This window comes from Homo sapiens, chromosome 1 (genome assembly GCF_000001405.40).
Source record: "Homo sapiens chromosome 1, GRCh38.p14 Primary Assembly".
Lineage (NCBI taxonomy): Eukaryota > Metazoa > Chordata > Mammalia > Primates > Hominidae > Homo > Homo sapiens.
Window position 1 is genome coordinate 179213267 of NC_000001.11, and position 18354 is coordinate 179231620.

The following is an 18354-nucleotide window of genomic DNA, read 5'->3' on the forward strand; positions in this document are numbered from 1 at the left end:
TACTTCTCAATTAGCTTATTTGTATTTATTTATTTATTTTTACGCTTATTTTTATTTTTGTCTTTTTTTTTCTTCCTTTTCGTGGAGAACAGAGTCTTGCTATGTTGCCCAAGGCAGGTCTCAAACTCCTGGGCTCAAGCTATCCTCCCGCCTCTGCCTCCCTGAGAGATGGGATTACAGGCATGAGCCACCGTGCCCAGCCTATTTATTTTTAAATACAGAAAGGGTCTCACTATATTGCCCAGGCTGGTCTCAAACTCCTGGGCTCAGGTGATCCTCCCACCTCAGCCTTCCAAACTGCTAGGATTACAGGTGTGAGCCACCACTCCTGGCCAATACTTCTCAGTTAGGACAAAGGACATTTCAAGTGCTCAAGAGCCACAGTGGCTACTAGCTGCCATCCTCAACAGTACCAATATAGGGAGGAAATGGATGGGTGCTGCTAATTTTTTTTCCATTTTAAATCTTGTCATATTCTTTGACTTCTAAAACTGCCTGCATGTATTACTGTGGTAAAAATAACTAAAAGAGTCCAGGCGTGGTGGCTCACACCTGTAATCCCAGTACATTGGGATGCTATAGGCAGGAGGATTGTTTGAGCCCAGGAGGCTGCAGTGAGCTATGATCATGCTACTACTGCACTCCAACCTGGGTGACAGAGTAAGACCCTATCTCTTAAAAGAAAAAAATTATCTAGAAATATCAGTTTTAATAAAATAAAAATATCAGTACAAAGTTATTAGATGCAATACAAGTAAGGCAACCAAACCTAGACTCAAGATGGACATACAAAATCAAGGCTTCCTATACATTAGCAATAAGCAATTAGGAAAGATTATACTTAACAACAAAAATCATAAAATGCCCACTAATAAACCTACCAAGTAATGTCCAAAAACAAGATTAAGAAAATGAAAAAGATTTTACTGAGGGGCAAAAAAAGATCTGCCTGGACTGGCAAAGGGATGTCATGTTCTTGGCCATAAAAACACAATAATGCAACATCAATTCACCCCCAAATTAACCTATAATTTGATATGACCATCAAAATCTCCTAAATCTTAACAACATAATCCTAAAGATCTTTGGAAGATATAAGATGCAACATCTAAATAAAATTTTAAGAACAACATAATGATTGGGGAGCTAACCACATACACATACACACTATATAAGCTTACAATAATTAAAATAGTATATTAACAATGTGCAGGAGGAGACAAAGATCAATGGAACAACAGTTTTAAAATGACATATATATATATATATATATATATATATATATGAGAATATATGATAAATATGGCTTTTCAAATCAGTGGAGAATTGATGGACTATTCACAAATTAATACAATGGAAAAACATTGTTTGTTCCAAGCTCAAATATATATACCCTTCGGATGGATTCAAATTACAAACATAAAGAAAAAACACAGGAAAGATGGAGAAGATATTTAAATATTCTTATAAACAAGTATTCATCAATAAGAAAGTGGTTAAATATATGGCTAAAGCATGGGACACTATAAAGCTGTCAAAAAGGATGAGAAATCTACAAATACTGGAATAGAAAGACCTTCCAGATAAATAAACACACACACAAAAATTGTGGGTCGGGCACAGTAGCCCATGCCTGTAATCCCAGCACTTGGAGAGGCCAAGGCAGACAGATTGCCTGAGGTCAGGAGTTTGAGACCAGACTGGCTAACATGGTGAAACTCCTTCTCTACTAAAAATACGAAAATTAGCCGGGTGTGGTGGCGGGCGCCTGTAGTCCCAGCTACTAGGGAGGCTGAGGCAGGAGAATCGCTTGAACCCAGGAGGTGGAGGTTGCAATGAGCCGAGATCATACCACTGCACTCCAGCCTAGGCAACAGAATAAGACTCAGTCTCCAAAAAAAAAAAAATTGGGGAGAAAATTCATACAGTATAATGCCATTTATGAAACGGCAAGAGAAGTGTTAATATATATACTCATATATATGTAAATACACAGCAAGTTCTGAAATGGCTGGGTGTGGGAAACACCTATCGAACCACAAACAGTAGTTTCTTCTAATAAGGGAATATGTATTGGGCCAAGAATGTCAAAGGGGACTTTCATGTCTAGTCTATATGCTTCTGAATTATTATTTTTTTAACCTTGAGATACCTTTGTATATTTTTATGCAACTGAAAAATGCATGGCCAGGCACTGTGGCTCACGCCTGTAATCCCAGCACTTTGGGAGGCAAAGGTGGGTGGATCACTTGAGGCCTGGAGTTCGAAACCAGCCTGGCTAACAACCCTTTCTCTACTAAAAATACAAAAATCAGCTGGGCGTGGTGGCACATGCCTGTAATCCCAGCTACTCAGGAGGCAGAGGTTGTAGTGAGCTGAGATCATGCCACTGCACTCCAGCCTGGGCAACAGAGCCAGACTCTGCCTCAAAAAAAAAAAAGAAAAGAAAAGTGCCAATTTCAAAATGAGTAAAAGAAAGCTACTGTAACAAAAACCTTCAGGTATCAACCTTTCTTTCCTATAAGGAACAGATGAGTGATACAAATTGTACTTGTTAGTATTGTCAGTTTTTTTTAATGTTTTCTTAGCAATTACCTAGAAACAAAATGCTAAGTGGTAATCTTCAGTCCTAACTCAGTACTGTTTTTTTAATTTGCTGGAATTAGCACACAGAGAGAAACATGTTAACAAAATTACATGTGTACATATTATGTATTATACTAAGCTCCAGAATATTTTTTTGACCTTGTCCACATGAAGTGAAAGGTTTTTGAACACTTCTTCTCCCTAGAAAGCAAACCCGAGAATACAAATGGCCTGGGCCTGCCCAGCTTTAGCGTTCTGCTGGATCAAAAGCCAATAATGGCAGAGTTCACTATAGAGAAGCCGGCAGTTCTACCACGGCAGAATCAGCACATTTACAGCAACCAGCAAGTGGGAAAAAAGCTAAGTGCTGTTTTCATATTTTTAAGCAACTAAGTTTAAACGTTGGATAGTAATATATTTAATGTGTATTTATCCATGAATTTGAGTGAATTTCATTTGAAAATACTGACAAAATGTTCTAATTAGTATAATGACAACAAATTTACATACTGAAATTATGCACTCAATCCAAAAAGGCAACCAAGAGTTTTTGTACAAAATATCCTCACAAACACAGACACACACATCTCTTTTTAGTTGTTTCGTAAGGATGTTCATCAACATCTATTTGATCAGCAACATTCTTTTAGATAGCAGTTCTGTCTAAATTGTATCTAAAAATTCTCTCAGAGCCATCAACATAGGCAATTAGTACAGAATAAATGAATAAAAAAATAGAAAATGCTCTGGAGTGTTAAGCTAAAATTTTTTAAAAATTCTCCTGCCATTATCACCTGGGGGAAAAGGTCTTTATAAGTTGCATATTGCAATAATAAGCTAAATATATCATGTGGTTACACAGATTCTTTTTTTTTTTTGGCTGGACTGCAGTGGCGTGATCTGGGCCTGCAACCTCCACCTCCCGGGTTCAAGCAATTCTTCTGCCTCAGCCTCCCGAGTAGCTGCAACTACAGGCGCACGCCACCATGCCCGGCTAATTTTTGTATTTTTAGTAGAGGTGGGGTTTCACCACATTGGCCAGGCTGGTCTTGAAGTCCTGACCTCATGATCTGCCTGCCCTGGCCACCCATAGTGCTGGGATTGCAGGCATGAGCCACCTCACCCGGCCAGTTACATAGATTCTAATATAAGATGATTGGAGGCCAGGCGTGGGAGCTCACGCCTGTAATACCAACACTTTGGGAGGCCAAGGCAGGCGGATCACTTGAGGTCAGGAGTTCAAGACCAGCCTGGCCAACGTGGTGAAACCGTCTCTACTAAAAATACAAAAATTAGCTGGGTGTGGTGGCGTGCACCTGTAATCCCAGCTACACAGGAGGCTGAAGCAGGAAAATCGCTTGAACTCAGAAGGCCGAGGTTGAACCCAAGAGGCCGAGGTTGCAGTGAGCCAAGATGGCACCATTGCACTCCAGCCTGGGTGACAGAGCCAGACTCCATCTCAAAAAAAAAGAGCCGCTCGGCCTGTGGCTCAGTCAGGTGTGGTGGCTCACACCTGTAATCCCAGCACTTTGGGAGGCCAAGGTGGATGAGTCACCTGAGGTCAGGAGTTCAAGACTAGCCTGGCCAACATGGTGAAACCCCATCTCTACTAAAAACACAAAAATTAGCCGAGTGTGATGGCATGCACCTGTGGTCCCAGCTACTCGGGAGGCTGAGGCAGGAGAACCGTTTGAACCCAGTGGGTGGAGGTTGCAGTGAGCCTCGATCGTGCCATTGCACTCCAGCCTGGGCAACAGAGCAAGACTCCACCTCAAAAAAAAAAAAAAAGAAAAGAAATATTAGTAACACTAAGCCTAAAGATTAAGACAGGAGTTCAACATTACCATGAGATTCCAAATGGTATGGTGAGTTCCCACCTCTCCTTCATTAGACCATCATATATATCTAAGACTCAATCCATAGCCACATACTATACAAATCTAACCCTGGTCTACCAGTCTGAAAACCTCATCACTGGTCAAGACAGATGGGGTAAAAAATACCTAAAAATCTTTGTATTATATATATACATACATATGTATAACTACATACACACATATTCTAAAAGGTAACTAGGCACCAGCATATACCAAAACTATAGAATCACAAACAGACATCCCATCTTCTTTGGTCTCTAATATTTTTTAATTTGAGCAACGAGGGTTTTATGAGTTTTAAAAGAAAAAACAGATATTGAGTACTTAGAACATGCCTGGCACACAGCCCTCAATAAATGGCAATTATTTCATTACCCAATTCTTCCAGGAACTGTAGCCCAATCTGCTCAAGAATGAGTCAGCAGAACTGTTTTCTACTTCCCCTTTCCCTGATAACTCCAGATTTTTTTCAAAAATGTGTCTCTCAAGAGACCTCTAATGTACGAACTTTTAGAGATAAACCACCAAAAAAATGGTATAAGACTGTGGTGACTTGCATGTGGACACTAATAGGCTAGGAACAAATGAATTTCTGAACCAGTTTTGAAGAGAGTTAGTACATTACATCCTGTTTTCTGACAGTCATTCAATCACCTCTGATCAAGTACTCTTTTCTTTTCTTTTTTTGAGACAGTCTCGCTCTGTCACCCAGGCTGGAGTGCAGTGGTACGATCTCGGCTCACTGCAGCCTCTGCCTCCCTGGTTCAAGCAATTCTCCTGCCTCAGCCTCCCGAGTAGCTGGGACTACAGGCGTACGCCACCACGCCCAGCTAATTTTTGTATCTTTAGTAGAGATGGGGTTTCACCATGTAGGCCAGGAGGATGGTCTTGATCTCCTGACCTTGTGATCCACCTGCCTTGGCTTCCCAAAGCACTAGGATTACAGGCGTGAGCCACCACACCAGGCCAAGTACTCTTCTTAATCTCACATGAGCAGGAGATTCTCAAAGCATGGTCCCCAACCAGCAGCACCTGTAACACCTGAAAATTTGCCAGAAATGCAAATTCTTGAGCTCCTCCTCAGCCCTAAATCAGAAACCCTGGAGGTGGGACCCAGCAATCTGCTTTAACAAGCTCTCCACGCTCAAGTTTCAGAACTGTTCTATATGATTTGAAGTAGCTACATATTTACCTCGTCCAGAAGACATCTGTTAACATGGAAAAGGTTCTTAAGTATTTTGAAATCTCTGTATGTGCAGTGCCACATTAAGAAAAAGCCCATCTGACTCACAACTTCAAGAAGATAATCACACTAAACAAGTTTTCTTTTTGAGACAGGGTCTCATTCTGTCGCCCAGAATGGAGTGCAGCGACGTGATTATGGCTCACTGCAGCCTCAACCTCCTGGCCTCAAGTGATCCTCTCACCTTAGCCTCCCCAGTAGCTGGGACTACATGTGTGCACTAGCACGCCTGGCTAGGTTTTCTATTTTTTGTAGAGACAGGGTTTCGCCACGTTGCCTAGGCTGGTCTTGAACTCCTGAGCTTAAAGCAATCCACCTGCTTCGGCCTCCCAAAGTGCTGGGATTACAGACGTGAGCTACCATGCCTGGCCTAAACAAGCCTTTAAGAAGAAACTTTACATCCAGAGGTAAAAATAACACAGAGAAGAAGAAAAAAAAAGGTCTTAAAGGATGTCAGATGAAGAAGGTTACAACAAAGTCATTTAAAAAAGTCATTAACTATTAACCAGCAAACAAATGGGCCAACTTAGAATGAAGTCTCTATCAACTTTAAATTTGCATTGGCCAGTGTTTCTGGTTCAAGTTCTTTGATGGAAGAAAAAGATGTCTACAAGAACCAGGCACTACATATACTGATACCCAGTCCCTAAGACAAAGACAAATGGTCTAGAGAGGATATCACTTACCTTACAAGGAAGGTAGACCTAAAGTGATTTCAGATTCTCCTGTGATTTCAGATCCCCAAAATTCCCTTACCTTTTACTGCTTTCTGAAAGTCCTCTAATAAGAGTAGCTTAATAAGAAGAGAAAATGAAGTAATAAATATAAATGCTAAGGCAATTCTACACTTTGGCATGCCATCACAATGATAACAATAGCAGTGCTTAGGTTTACAAAACATTTTCACATACAACTCATATAATCTTCACAATCATCTTGAGGTAAATAATGACAATAAAACTGATATTTATTGAGCACCACAGTGCCTGGCACTTAAGAGTCTCGTACAATTTTATCACTTAATTATTTCAACAACCTGTTGTGAGGGATAAACCATGTACCAATGTCAGACACAAAGCAAGATTTATATCCAATTATAACTGATTTTAAAACCCACATTCTCTAAATCTCCACATTATGGCAAGACTTGGAGACAAAACTATCAGTCCCAGCTCTATCATTTAACAGCTATGTAACCTCAAGAAGTCACTTAATTTTCTAAACTCTTCATCTACAAAATGGGAAGATTAATACCTGCTTCACCTATTTCAGAGTAGTTGTAAAGGTCAAGTGAGATGAAAGACATAAAAGGTCTTCTTCAAAAGCTCTAAAAACTACACAAACATTATCATTCCCTATTTTGAAAGAGACTGAAGTAAAGAGGAATAAAAACATACAATGGTGGGGAGATGCTGGTTTTTCTTGTTTGGTTTTTGTTTTCCGTTTAAAGCAGGTTGAGCACCAGCTGCCTGCCACTTGTGAGCTGGGTATGTGCCGCACAGGACAGTGCCTTGTTTAGGCGATGGTCACTTTGTCAGGAAAATCTACCAAGGAAGAAATTACCAAACCATGTCTTTTTTTCTGTTTATGGAGTAGTTCACAGCAAATCTTGAGTGTTTTGACTAAAGCATGGAATACAGAAAACAAACTTCAGCTAGTGCTTTAATCTCTGCTGAAATTCTACAGGTATGTGTTTTATAAGCAGTATATGGCAGGATTTTAAGCCAGTCTGAAAGTCTGGTTTTCAGTAGCATTATTTCTGACAGCTACATACTGCTGAATGTTCAACTGGTGAAACTGAAGGTCTTTTCACTCAGAAGAAATCAATCAAGAAGAACTTGCAGTTCGCAAGCTTCTGAGCTGCTGTGGATGGCCCTGGCTCTCCAGACTGCCCTTCCCACTGAGATCTCTCACATGGGGTCTCCTGCTGCTGCCACTCCTGACTCTCCTCCTGATGTGGTACCTCTCAGCCTTCCCCACTACAATGTGACAGAATATGTAGACTGGATGTACTTTTACAAGTATGAGCCAATTTACAGATGAGGCTTTCACTTCACATTTTGAGAGCATTCAAACTGCTCTGATCAAAATCCAATTCTGGTTATCCTAGTGACCTCCCACCCCTCAGATGTGAAAGCCAGACAGGCCATTAGAGTTACTTGGGGTGAAAAAAGTCTTGATGGCGATATGAGGTTCTCACATTTTTCTTAGTAGGCCAACGGGCTAAAAGAGAAGACAAACTGTTAGCACTGTCCTCGGACGATTAACATCTTCTTTATAGTGATGTAATCCAACGAGATTTTTTAGACACATACAAAAACCTGACCTTGAAAACTGGCCAGGCACAGTGGCTCACATTTGTAGTCCCAGCACGTTGGGAGGTCAAGGCAGGTGAATTACTTGAGGCCAGGAGTTTGAGACCAGCCAGGCCAATATGGTGAAAACCCATCTGTACTGAAAATACAAAAATTAGCCAGGCATGGTGACGTGTGCCTGTAATCCCAGCTACTTGGGAGGCTGAGGCACAAGAATTGCTTGAGCCCAGGAGGTGGAGGCTGCAGTGAGCCAAGATCGCACCACTGCACTCCAGCCTGGGTGACAGAGCAAGACTCCGTCTCAAACAAACAACAAAAACAACCTATTATGGCATTCAGGTGGGTAACTGAGTTTTGCCCCATTGCCAACTACATCATGACAACAGACACTTATGTGTTCATCAATACTGGCAATTTAGTGTAGTATCTTTTAAACTTAAACCACTCAGAGAAGTTTTTCACAGGTTATCCCCTAATTGATAATTATTCCCATAGAGGATTTTACCAAAAAAAAAAAAAAACGTATTTCATACCAGGAGTGTCCTTTCAAGGTGTTTCCTCCCTACTGCAGTGGGTTGGGTTATACAATGCCCAAAGATTTGGTGCCAAGGATCCATGAAATGATGGGTCACGTAAAACCCATGATGTTTATGTCAGGATCTGTTTGAATTTATTAAAAGTGGACATTCATATTCCAGAAGACACGAATCTTTTCTTTCTATATAGAATCCATTCAGATGTCTGTCAATTTGGATGTGTGATTGCAGCCCACGGCTTTTCTTCCAAGGAGATGATCACTTTTTAGCAGATTATGCTATGGAACATCACATGCCATTAACTTCGCATTCTATGAAAAGCCTAGAAGAACAGGATACTCTGCGGAAAGTGTTAAAGTTCCTACTGTGAAAAGTTCATGGAGAGGTCAGTGTACTGGCTTACACTTAACTTTTTTTTCTTTTGAGACAGAGTCTTCGCCCTGTCCCTCAGGCTGGAGTGCAGTGGCGTGATCTCAGCTCACTGCAACCTCCGCCTCCTAGGTTCAAGTGATTCTACAGCCTCAGCCTCCTGAGTAGCTGGGATTACAGGTGCCCGCCACCATGCCTGGCTAATTTTTTTTTTTGAGACAGGGTTTTGCTCCTGTTGCCCAGGGTGGAGTACAGTAGCACGATCTCGGCTCACTGCAACCTCTGCCTCCCAGGATCAAGCGATTCTCCTGCCTCAGCCTCTTGAGTAGGTGGGATTATAGGTGCGCGCCACCATGCCCAGCTAATTTTTGTATTTTTAGCAGAGACAGGGTTTCACCATGTTGGCCAGGATGGTCTCGATCTCCTGATCTCGTCATCCACCCACCTCGGCCTCCCAAAGTACTGGGATTACCAGCATGAGCCACCGCGCCTGGCCTGAAACTCACCAGGAACCCACAAACTGGTTACACCTTATGATTTATTTTGACAAAAATCATGTCAGATCCTTTAAAGATGATATTCAGAGGAATATATTTAAAATACCTTTAAAATAACAACAACAACAAAAAAAAAACAGGCCGGGCACAGTGGCTCACGCCTGTAATCCTAACACTTTGAGAGGCTGAGGTGGGCGGATCATTTGAGGCCAGGAGTTCGAGACAAGTGTGACCAACATGGTGAATCCCCATCTCTACTAAAATACAAAAATTAGCCAGGTGTGGTGGCAGCCGCCTGTAATCCCAGCTACTCGGGAGGCTGAGGCAGGTGAATTGCTTGAACCCAGGAGGAGGAGGTTGCAGTGAGCCAAGATCGCGCCACTGCACTCCAGGCTGGGAGACAGAGCAAGGCTCCCTCTCAAAAAAAAAAAAAAAAAAAAAAGTCCAGATGCAGGGCCTCATGTCTGTAATCCCAGCACTTTGGGAGGCCAAGGTGGGAGAATCACTTGAGCCTAGGAATTTAAGACCAGCCTGGCCCAGTACAGCAAGACCCCATCTCTACAGAAAAATTTAAAAATTAGCCAGGCATGGTAGCACGCACCTATAGTCCCAGCTACCCAGAAGGCTGAGTCAGGAATGGCTTCAGCCAGGAGTTTGAGGCTGCAGTGAGCTATCATCATGCCACAGCACTCCAGCCTAGGCAACAGAGCAAGACCCTGTCTCAAAAAAAAAAAAAAACCACCTAAGTAAATAAATAAACTATCGAATAAAGCAGGCTGAAGACCCTTACAGAGAAACTTCAGACTTCATCACTTTACTTGGAATTTTACTGCCAAGTGGGCTATGAGAACAGAATCTGTACCACAACTTATTACTTTGCTAAAAATATGGACCCCAACTACACATCTATAACTTACACAGATTTGGAGATTAATAAAAATCTAACAGCTGATTTTTTTTTAAAAGTTTAGTCTGCAGGATTGGCACTCAAGAAAAAAAGAAAAATAAATAAAAATAAAAAATGAAGTTTAGTTCTTATATTAAGTCACCACAATTAAAATTCCCTCACAACAGCCTTCCTGTGCTTTCCATAGCATCGTTTTCAACCTGGGGTGCCAACAGCCTTCATTCCACAAAGATTAAAACATGAACTACTGGCCGGGTGCGGTGGCTCACACCTGTAATCTCAGGACTTTGGGAGGGCAAGGCAGGCAGATCACTTGAGCCCAGGAGTTCAAAACCACCATGGGCAACATGGCAAAACTCTGTCTCTACAAAAAAAAAAAAAAAATAGAAAGGCATGGTGGCGTGCACCTATAGTCCCAGGTATTCAGGAGGCTGAGAGGTGAGAGGATCACTTGAGTCTGGGAGGTCAAGGCTGCAGTGAGCCATGATCTCGCCAATGCACTCCAGCCTGGGCAAGAGAGTGAGACCCTACTCACTACAAAAAAAAAAAAAAAAAAAAAAAACTACAGATCCAAAATAAAAAATAAATAAATAAATCAGATCACTTAAAATAATGAGTTTGATTTAAGGAAAAATTTTTGTTATTCCAAACTTCATAATGTAAGGGTTTTTGTTTGTTGGTTTTTTTGGAGACGGAGTCTTGCTCTGTCGCCCAGGCTGGAGTGCAGGTGCGCGATCTCGGCTCACTGCAAACTCCGCCTCCGGGGTTCAGGGGATTCTCCTGTCTCAGCCTCCTGAGTAGCTGGGACTATAGGTGCCCGCCACCACACCTGGCTAATTTTTGTATTTTTTTAGTAGAGACAGGGTTTCACCATGTTGGCCAGGCTGATCTCGAACTCCTGACCTCAGGTGATCTGCCCACGTCGGCCTCCCAAAGTGCTGGGATTATAGGTGTGAGCCACCACGCCCAGCCTAAAGTTAATTTTTAATAGAATTTTTAGAAAATGAGAGAGGGAAGCTAAAGTAAAATCATTCAGCTGTTAAAAGGTATGTGAGATATTCAACAGCAAGTAAGTATTCAACCCTAGATTATTAGTCATGAAACATCAGCTCACCAGAAAGGTTTAATAGCAGAGCTTGCCTCTCGCAGTGGCTCACGCCTATAATCCCAGCACTTTGGGAGGCCGAGGCAGAGTATCACCTGAGCCTAGGAGTTTGAGACCAGCCTGAGCAACATAGTGAGACCTCCGTCTCTACAAAAAAAAAAAAAAAAACACAAAATTACCCAGGTGTGATGGCGTGTGCCTGTAGTCTCAGCTCCTCGGGAGGCTGAGGCAGGAGGATTGCTTGAGTCCAGGAGTTTAAGGCTGCAGCGATCTACGATCGCAGCACTGCACTCCAGCCTGGGTGGCAGAGCAAGACCTTTCTCTAAAATAAAACATAAAATAAAAGAGTTGACAAAAAAAATAGCAGATCTCAGAAAAGTCACACAGCACTCACTCCTTTCATACCAAAAATGGCTCTATTATTTTTGTTCCTTCTAAATTACATTCACAAAAATCACTTTTGGCAAGGCAAATTATTATCACAGCTTACCCACATATTATTAACGATAAAAAATGACCATTTTAGCTAAAGAAAGAAAAGTCCTGGACTCTGATAAACCATTTCCATAATGTATGTACCTTTTTACTGATTAACTAAATGTATTATTTGGCTTATATTAAAACCTACATGTAAACCCAAGAGTCTAACAGACCTAACATTCATATATGAAATTATGTGCTAATACCTCAATATGGCAAACTCAAGACAGTAATTTGTACACTAGATTCGAGCACCTACATTTACCATGTAAAGGTCAAATGATACATCCACTGAGAAGCTTTCGAATCTAATTCATTCATTCATTCATTCAATTCAGAATCTATCACATTTCTAAGTGGTGTCCTCAACTAGGGGCAATTCTGCCCCCCAAGAGATTTAACAATGTCTGGAGGCATTTTTATAACAAGTAAGGGGCAAAAAGAAGGTGCTACTGGCATCTAGTGGGTAGAGTCCAGGGATGCTGCTAAACATCCTACAATGCACAGGACAGCCCCCCAAAACACAGAATTAGCCAGCCCAAAATATCAATGCCGCCGAGGTTAAGAAACTATGACGTGGCCGGAAGCGGTGGCTCATGCCTGTAATCCCAGCACTTTGGGAGGCCGAAGAGGGCGGATCATGAGGTCAGGAGATCAAGACCATCTTGGCTAACACGGTGAAACCCTGTCTCTACTAAAAATACAAAAAAAAATTAGCCGGGCGTGGTGGCAGGTGCCTGTAGTCCCAGCTGCTCGGGAGGCTGAGGCAGGAGAATGGCGTGAACCCGGGAGGCGGAGCTTGCAGTGAGCCGAGATCGCGCCACTGCACTCCAGCCTGGGCGACAGAGTGAGACTCCGCCTCAAAAAAAAAAAAAAAAAAAAAAAAAAAGAAACTATGATGTACAGAAAAAAACTTTTTAAACCCATCTGTCTAAAAAACAGTACTCACTGCACCTTTGTTTCCTATATTATTTGCTAATTCCTTTCTTTTCATACTAGTCTTTGGCAATAAACTCGACCTATTCCCATTTTTTCAATCAGCTTCTAACTTCCAAACTTGTCAATAGAATCTTCATCATCCCAGTTAGCCAGGTTCTAAATCCTGGTGTCATCTTTGAATTATCCCTACTTTTTTTTTTTTTTTTTTTTTGAGACAGAGTCTCGCTCTGTCACCCAGGCTGGAGTGGCGCGATCTTGGCTCACTGCAACCTCCACCTCCCGGGTTCAAGCGATTCTCCTGTCTCAGCCTCCTGAGTAGCTAGGACTACAGGCGCGTGCCACCATGCCCAGCTAATTTTTCTATTTTTAGTACAGACGAGGTTTCACCATGTTGCTCAGGCTGGTCTCGAACTCCTGACCTCATGATCTGCCCACCTCGGCCTCCCACAGTGCTGGGATTACAGGCGTGAGCCACCGCACCTGGCCGAATTACTCCTGTTTTTAATAATAACAGTAGTATTAGTAATGGCAGCAGCTACACACATTTAGCTCATACTATGTGCCCAGCCACTATTCATTTAATACTAGGTACTATTATTATCACCACTTTACAAATGAAGAGTCCAAGACACAAAAAGTTAAATAACTTGTCCCAGGTCACAAAGCTCATAAGCAGCCAAGCAAGGTTTCAAATCCAGGAAAAATGGGTCCAGAGTTCATGCCCTTAACAAATACTCCAAAGTGATCTCTCTTCTTTCATCCTCTATCAAATCATAAAGTCCTTTAAGTTCCAAAGGGCAGGGACTCTGTTATGTTCACAGCAACATTCCCACAATCCAGTACATAACAGGTGCTCAAAAAAAACCCTTGTTTGTTGAATGAATGAAAGGACCCTTGAAATTACTCCTCCCATTTCCACTGCCACCACTCAAGGCCAGTCTTTCAGGTAAAGACTAGCCAATCAGGTAAATGGATATAAACTTCTCTGCCAGATTTTCCATAACCCAGTCCCATCCAGCCTATCAAAATTTTCTTTCTACTGCTTCTTAATTAGAATCATAAAATCTTAAAACCAGAAAGTATCTTAGAGATCATCCAGTCCAACCTCCTCACTTTACAGATAAAGAAACCCAAAGATGGTGACTAAAATCACCCAGGCAGGTGGAGCCAGAACCAGAACTTGACTCTTCCAATTTTTGCTCTATGATCTTTTTCTTCCAACTCATAATGATGCTTCATTCCTGACAGCTGTCTCCTCACTAGCCCATCAACAAATTATATCTATTCCCATGTTCCCGTTCAAGTTGTTTCTTCTACCCAAATTGTTCTCCCTCTCCATAGATCCAAATCCTCAAAATGTCTTCCTATTCCATTCTTCATGACTTCCTCTTTCTTGGAAAATCTTACATACCGAATAAGATAGTAAAGCAAGAGGATCACCATTGCCTACTAGGCCAAGTTTAATGCATAGTAACACTTCCCACAAAGTGAAGCTTACTTGGATGATTTCTTCCCTGTAAACTACTAATCCATTCTTCCATCCTGTGTTTTAGGAAGTGATTTTAATAAAGATTAGCTCATATATCACCTTCATAAAGTGTTCATATACCCGAAAGAGACACTCAAGCACATCTTCAATAGGAGACATGTGGCCAGGCGCAGTGCCTCACGCCTGTAATCCCAGCACTTTGGGAGGCTGTGGCGGGTGGATCATGAGGTCAGGCGTTCGAGACCAGCCTGGCCAACATAGAGAAACCCCACCCTACTAAAAACACAAAAAATTAGCCGGGTGTGGTGGCGGGCGCCTGTAATCCCAGCTACTCCGAGGCTGAGGCAGGAGAATCGCTTGAACCTGGGAGGCAGAGGTTGCAGTGAGCCAAGATCACGCCACTGCACTCCAGCCTGGGCGACAGAATGAGACTCCGTCTCCAAAAAAAAAAAAAAAAAAAAAAGAGTTTGGGCCAGGAACGGTGGTGGCTCACACCCGTAATCCCAGCACTTTGAGAGGCCAAGGCAGGCAGATTACCTGATGTCAGGAGTATATGACAAAATCCCACCACCACCAAAAATACAAAAATTAGCCGGGCGTGGTGGTGCACACCTGCAGTTCCAGCTACTCGGGAGGCTGAGGCAGGAGAATCACTTGAACCCGGGAGGCAGAGATTGCAGTGAGCCGACATCCCGCCATTGCACTCCATCATGGGGACCAAAGCGAGACTCTGTCTCAAAAAAAACAAAAACAAAAACAAAACAAAAAAACAAGACAAAAAAAGTTTGGAGACAACTATTCTAAAAATACATTGACAATGAGATCAAAATAATAGGTTTCAGACTACAGGGAGCATACATACATGTATGTATGTATATGGGCACACGCACACACTACAAAGGAAAACTTGTTCATATCCTGACTGACGTCCTAACCATGCCCACCAACCTCTAGCCCTTGCCAGCAATCTCAGAATTGTGTGTCCTACTCTGAAGCATAGTACAGAGGCTTTGGCAAAGCCTTTCATTTCTAGTAAAAACGAAATACAAAACAAAATAAACCACAAAAGCATGTCAAAAGTGATAAGATGATGCTAACTTCATCTTCCCTACAGAAAAGCATTTGACACTGTCCACAGTTCACTATCCTGACACTGCTCATCACCTAACGTAAACACATACCTTGTACTCCACAATCTCCTGAAATTCAGTTCCCATTTCCCAATCCCTTAGGATACAACCCATTTCCCCTTCACTAACGACGGGTTTATGCTCCCACCTCTGGGACTGAGCTAATACTGCCCTTCATCCTTCCCTCTCCTGAAGCTGCCATTCACTTTCTTTCTGCAGCCGCATAGTCCCGTCCCAGAGTAGAGGACAGACCATCCAGGGTCCCCAAACCCACTTCTCTTTCCTTCTCCGCCCCCGGGATCTGCCAGCCAGGCTAGAGACGCGAGGGGGGAGGGGTGTGACTCGCCTCCCAGGACTGGACCAGATGGCAGCGGATTCCGCCCCCACTCTCAGGCACCTTCCACCCTCCGACCCCTCGGGCAGCCCGTCCGCCACCCACCCCGCCCCGACCCCACCCCCGGCCTCCCCCACGCTCTCATGCCGGCTCCCAGACACACTCACCATGCTGGGTGAAGATATTGAAGCCGGTCTCTGTGGTGCGCCCCGCCGGGTCCCGCCTGCGGCCGGAGGGCCTGGCTGCACTGCTGCCCCGGATCCCGCGGGGCTGAGGCTGCTGGAGCCCCGGAGCTTCCCCGACGCGGCCCACCTGCTGCCCCATCCCTGCTCTCGCGTACTCCCGCGCCCCCGCCGACCCCTGGTCACATTCCTCCTCGGCTCCGGCCTCGGGCTCCTGGCGCTGCTCCGGTCTCTCCCTCCCAGCCCAGGCCCTGGCCCTGAGTGGCTGGGCCACCGGCGGCTCCGCACCCGGCCTCCTCACGGCAGCCGCCGCGCTGCCTCCAGGCGACTCACAGATTCTGCTTTTCCCTCCTCCTGTCGCGGCTCCGCGCCCCCAACGCCGCCGCCGCCGCCGCCGCCACCGCCGCCGCCATCTTTAAACCACCGAGCGCTGGGAAAGCGTGGGACAGAGCGTCTCCCGCCCCCCGCCCCCCGCCCCCCGCCCGCCAGTCACCTCCGCCGCGGGGAAGGAGGGCTTCCCGGCTGCCGCCCCGCCCTGCCGCGCCGCGCCCCCCGTCCCCGCCCCCGCCTCCTCGCAGGGTGGGTCCCCCAGTGCCCACCTCATTTGCCGGCCACCGCTGCTTGAGGTCTTTCGTCCTCCGCGTCCTGTCGCCGCACCTCGGCGTCCCCCCCCTCAATCCGCCTCAGCCGACCCCCTCCCGCGTTCGGCTCCACACGCTACCGCCTTTGGGGTTGGTCGGTCTCCGGCCTTCCCCATCCCACCTCCACCTGTCAAATGAGTGAGTCGAGGGCTCAGTGCCACCGCGTGCGCAGCTCAGGTGCAGGCACAGGTGGGGCAGAAAAGCACAAGGCATTTATTTGGTCCTTGCCATCCAGTTAAGGAGCTCTAAAATACCCAGGGGGATCTCTTTTAAACACCCTTGTCAGCAGCAGGCCTCCAGTAAAAATTAAAATGGTATAAAATTTACAAGAAGAGAGTAAAATGCTACCTTATTTGATTTTAATTTTTGGAGATTATTTCATGATGTTAAATCGCACTGGCCTGGATTGTGTGCCTTCTATAGTCTCATTGGGGACGCAATTGTAGCCCCATTCCTCATATTATATTACCATGAATTCCTCTTGAACTCCTTTACCATCTCACCATATGTGAGTTTCTGTTTCCTTACAATGCCTGACAGTAAAGTTAATCTTCCCACTGGCATCCTTTATACACTGTGCACGTGGTCAGGTCTTCTTTTGATGACAAAGGAGAAAAAATATATATCTTTGACCCTGTTTCTGAGTCAGAACTTACTCATTTTAGCTTATGCAGTCTAAAGAGAGTGAATGAGGCAGAAAAGAAGCGTTTTATACATACACATATACTATATACAATTGACTCGCCATCCCCCTCTCCCACTGTGTTTACTTGCATCTTAATTCAATTTTTTTTAATTCTCAAATCTTGATCATTCTCCTGTTATTCTTTTGGCTTCCCAATTTGCTTTATAAAAAGTATCAGTTAATGGAGGTACTACACTGAAATTTTGCTTAAATTAGACAGGACGGGAGCCACTGCAAAGAAGGAACAAAACAACCACTGGAAATGTAGGGTTGGGAGAAGAGGTGGATGAAGCTCTCCTTTGCATATCTTTCCTGAACCAGGTTGACCTTAGATGAACCATCCACTGACGTAGATATTGCCTGTTGTAAAAGCACTATGAAATTATTCCATTGCCATCTAGGGTGTAGCCAGAAATAACTGAAATTAACTCCAAAATGGGAACGGAAACACTATGTGTAAACACTGGATAAAATATGAACTTTCCATTTGGATTAAAGTTTCCCTGTGTTTAAAATACCTGTCTTTTCTTCTAATTCCCAGTGTTTGCAACTACTGAAAAAAATTCATTCGAAAGGGATAAAGATGTCACAGAGCCGGAATTTGGTTTACTGTTTGATTTTTATTATGGGAGAAAATTTTAATTTGGGGATAATGGTTTGGTTTCTCTGCTAATTCATGCATACTATATAAAGATAGATGAATATATGGGTTGAACATCTCAAATCTGAAAATCCAAAATGCTGCAAAATTCGAAATTTTTTGAGCACCAATATGATGCCAGAGGTGGAACATTTCACGTAAGTACTTAACATAAACTTTGTTTCATGCACAAAATTTTTAAAATATTGTATTAAATTGCATTCAAGCTATGTGTATAAAGGTGTATATGAAACATAAATGAATTTTGTGTTTAGACTTGGGTCGCATGCCCAAGATATCTCATTATGTGTGTGTAAATATTCCCAAATCTGAAACACTTGTGGTCCGAACATTTCTGATAAGGGCTGCTCAGCCTGCAGTAGAGTGCAGTGGCTAAGG

General features: G+C 43.5%; 1 protein-coding gene and 1 pseudogene across 8 annotated transcripts in view, besides 2 other annotated features; one reads left to right on the top strand and one right to left on the bottom strand.

Moving 5' to 3' along the window:
- The window catches only part of ABL2 (ABL proto-oncogene 2, non-receptor tyrosine kinase), a 130348-nt gene extending 113937 nt beyond the window's left edge, over positions 1 to 16411 (bottom strand). For all 8 annotated transcript variants that reach the window (XR_921765.2, XR_007058798.1, XR_921764.4 and 5 more), the window contains exon 1: positions 15975 to 16411. Coding sequence is in view for 5 of the 8 variants with exons in the window: in NM_001168238.2 (NP_001161710.1) it covers positions 15975 to 16131 (157 nt within the window). In the remaining 3 variants the exon portion in view is untranslated. The remainder of the gene's footprint in view (positions 1 to 15974) is intronic.
- On the top strand, positions 7214 to 8968 carry LOC100499223 (beta-1,3-N-acetylgalactosaminyltransferase 1 (Globoside blood group) pseudogene; annotated as a pseudogene).
- Positions 15705 to 16461: an enhancer, noted in NCBI's record as "H3K27ac hESC enhancer chr1:179198106-179198862 (GRCh37/hg19 assembly coordinates)". NCBI's record gives its function as "activates a minimal SCP1, AML or CMV promoter by ChIP-STARR-seq in primed H9 embryonic stem cells {active_cell/tissue: H9 hESC(primed)}" and the evidence as "EXISTENCE:reporter gene assay evidence [ECO:0000049][PMID:30033119]".
- Positions 15917 to 16326: a silencer, noted in NCBI's record as "silent region_1588". NCBI's record gives its function as "represses an Ori minimal core promoter by ATAC-STARR-seq in GM12878 lymphoblastoid cells {active_cell/tissue: GM12878}" and the evidence as "EXISTENCE:reporter gene assay evidence [ECO:0000049][PMID:35858748]".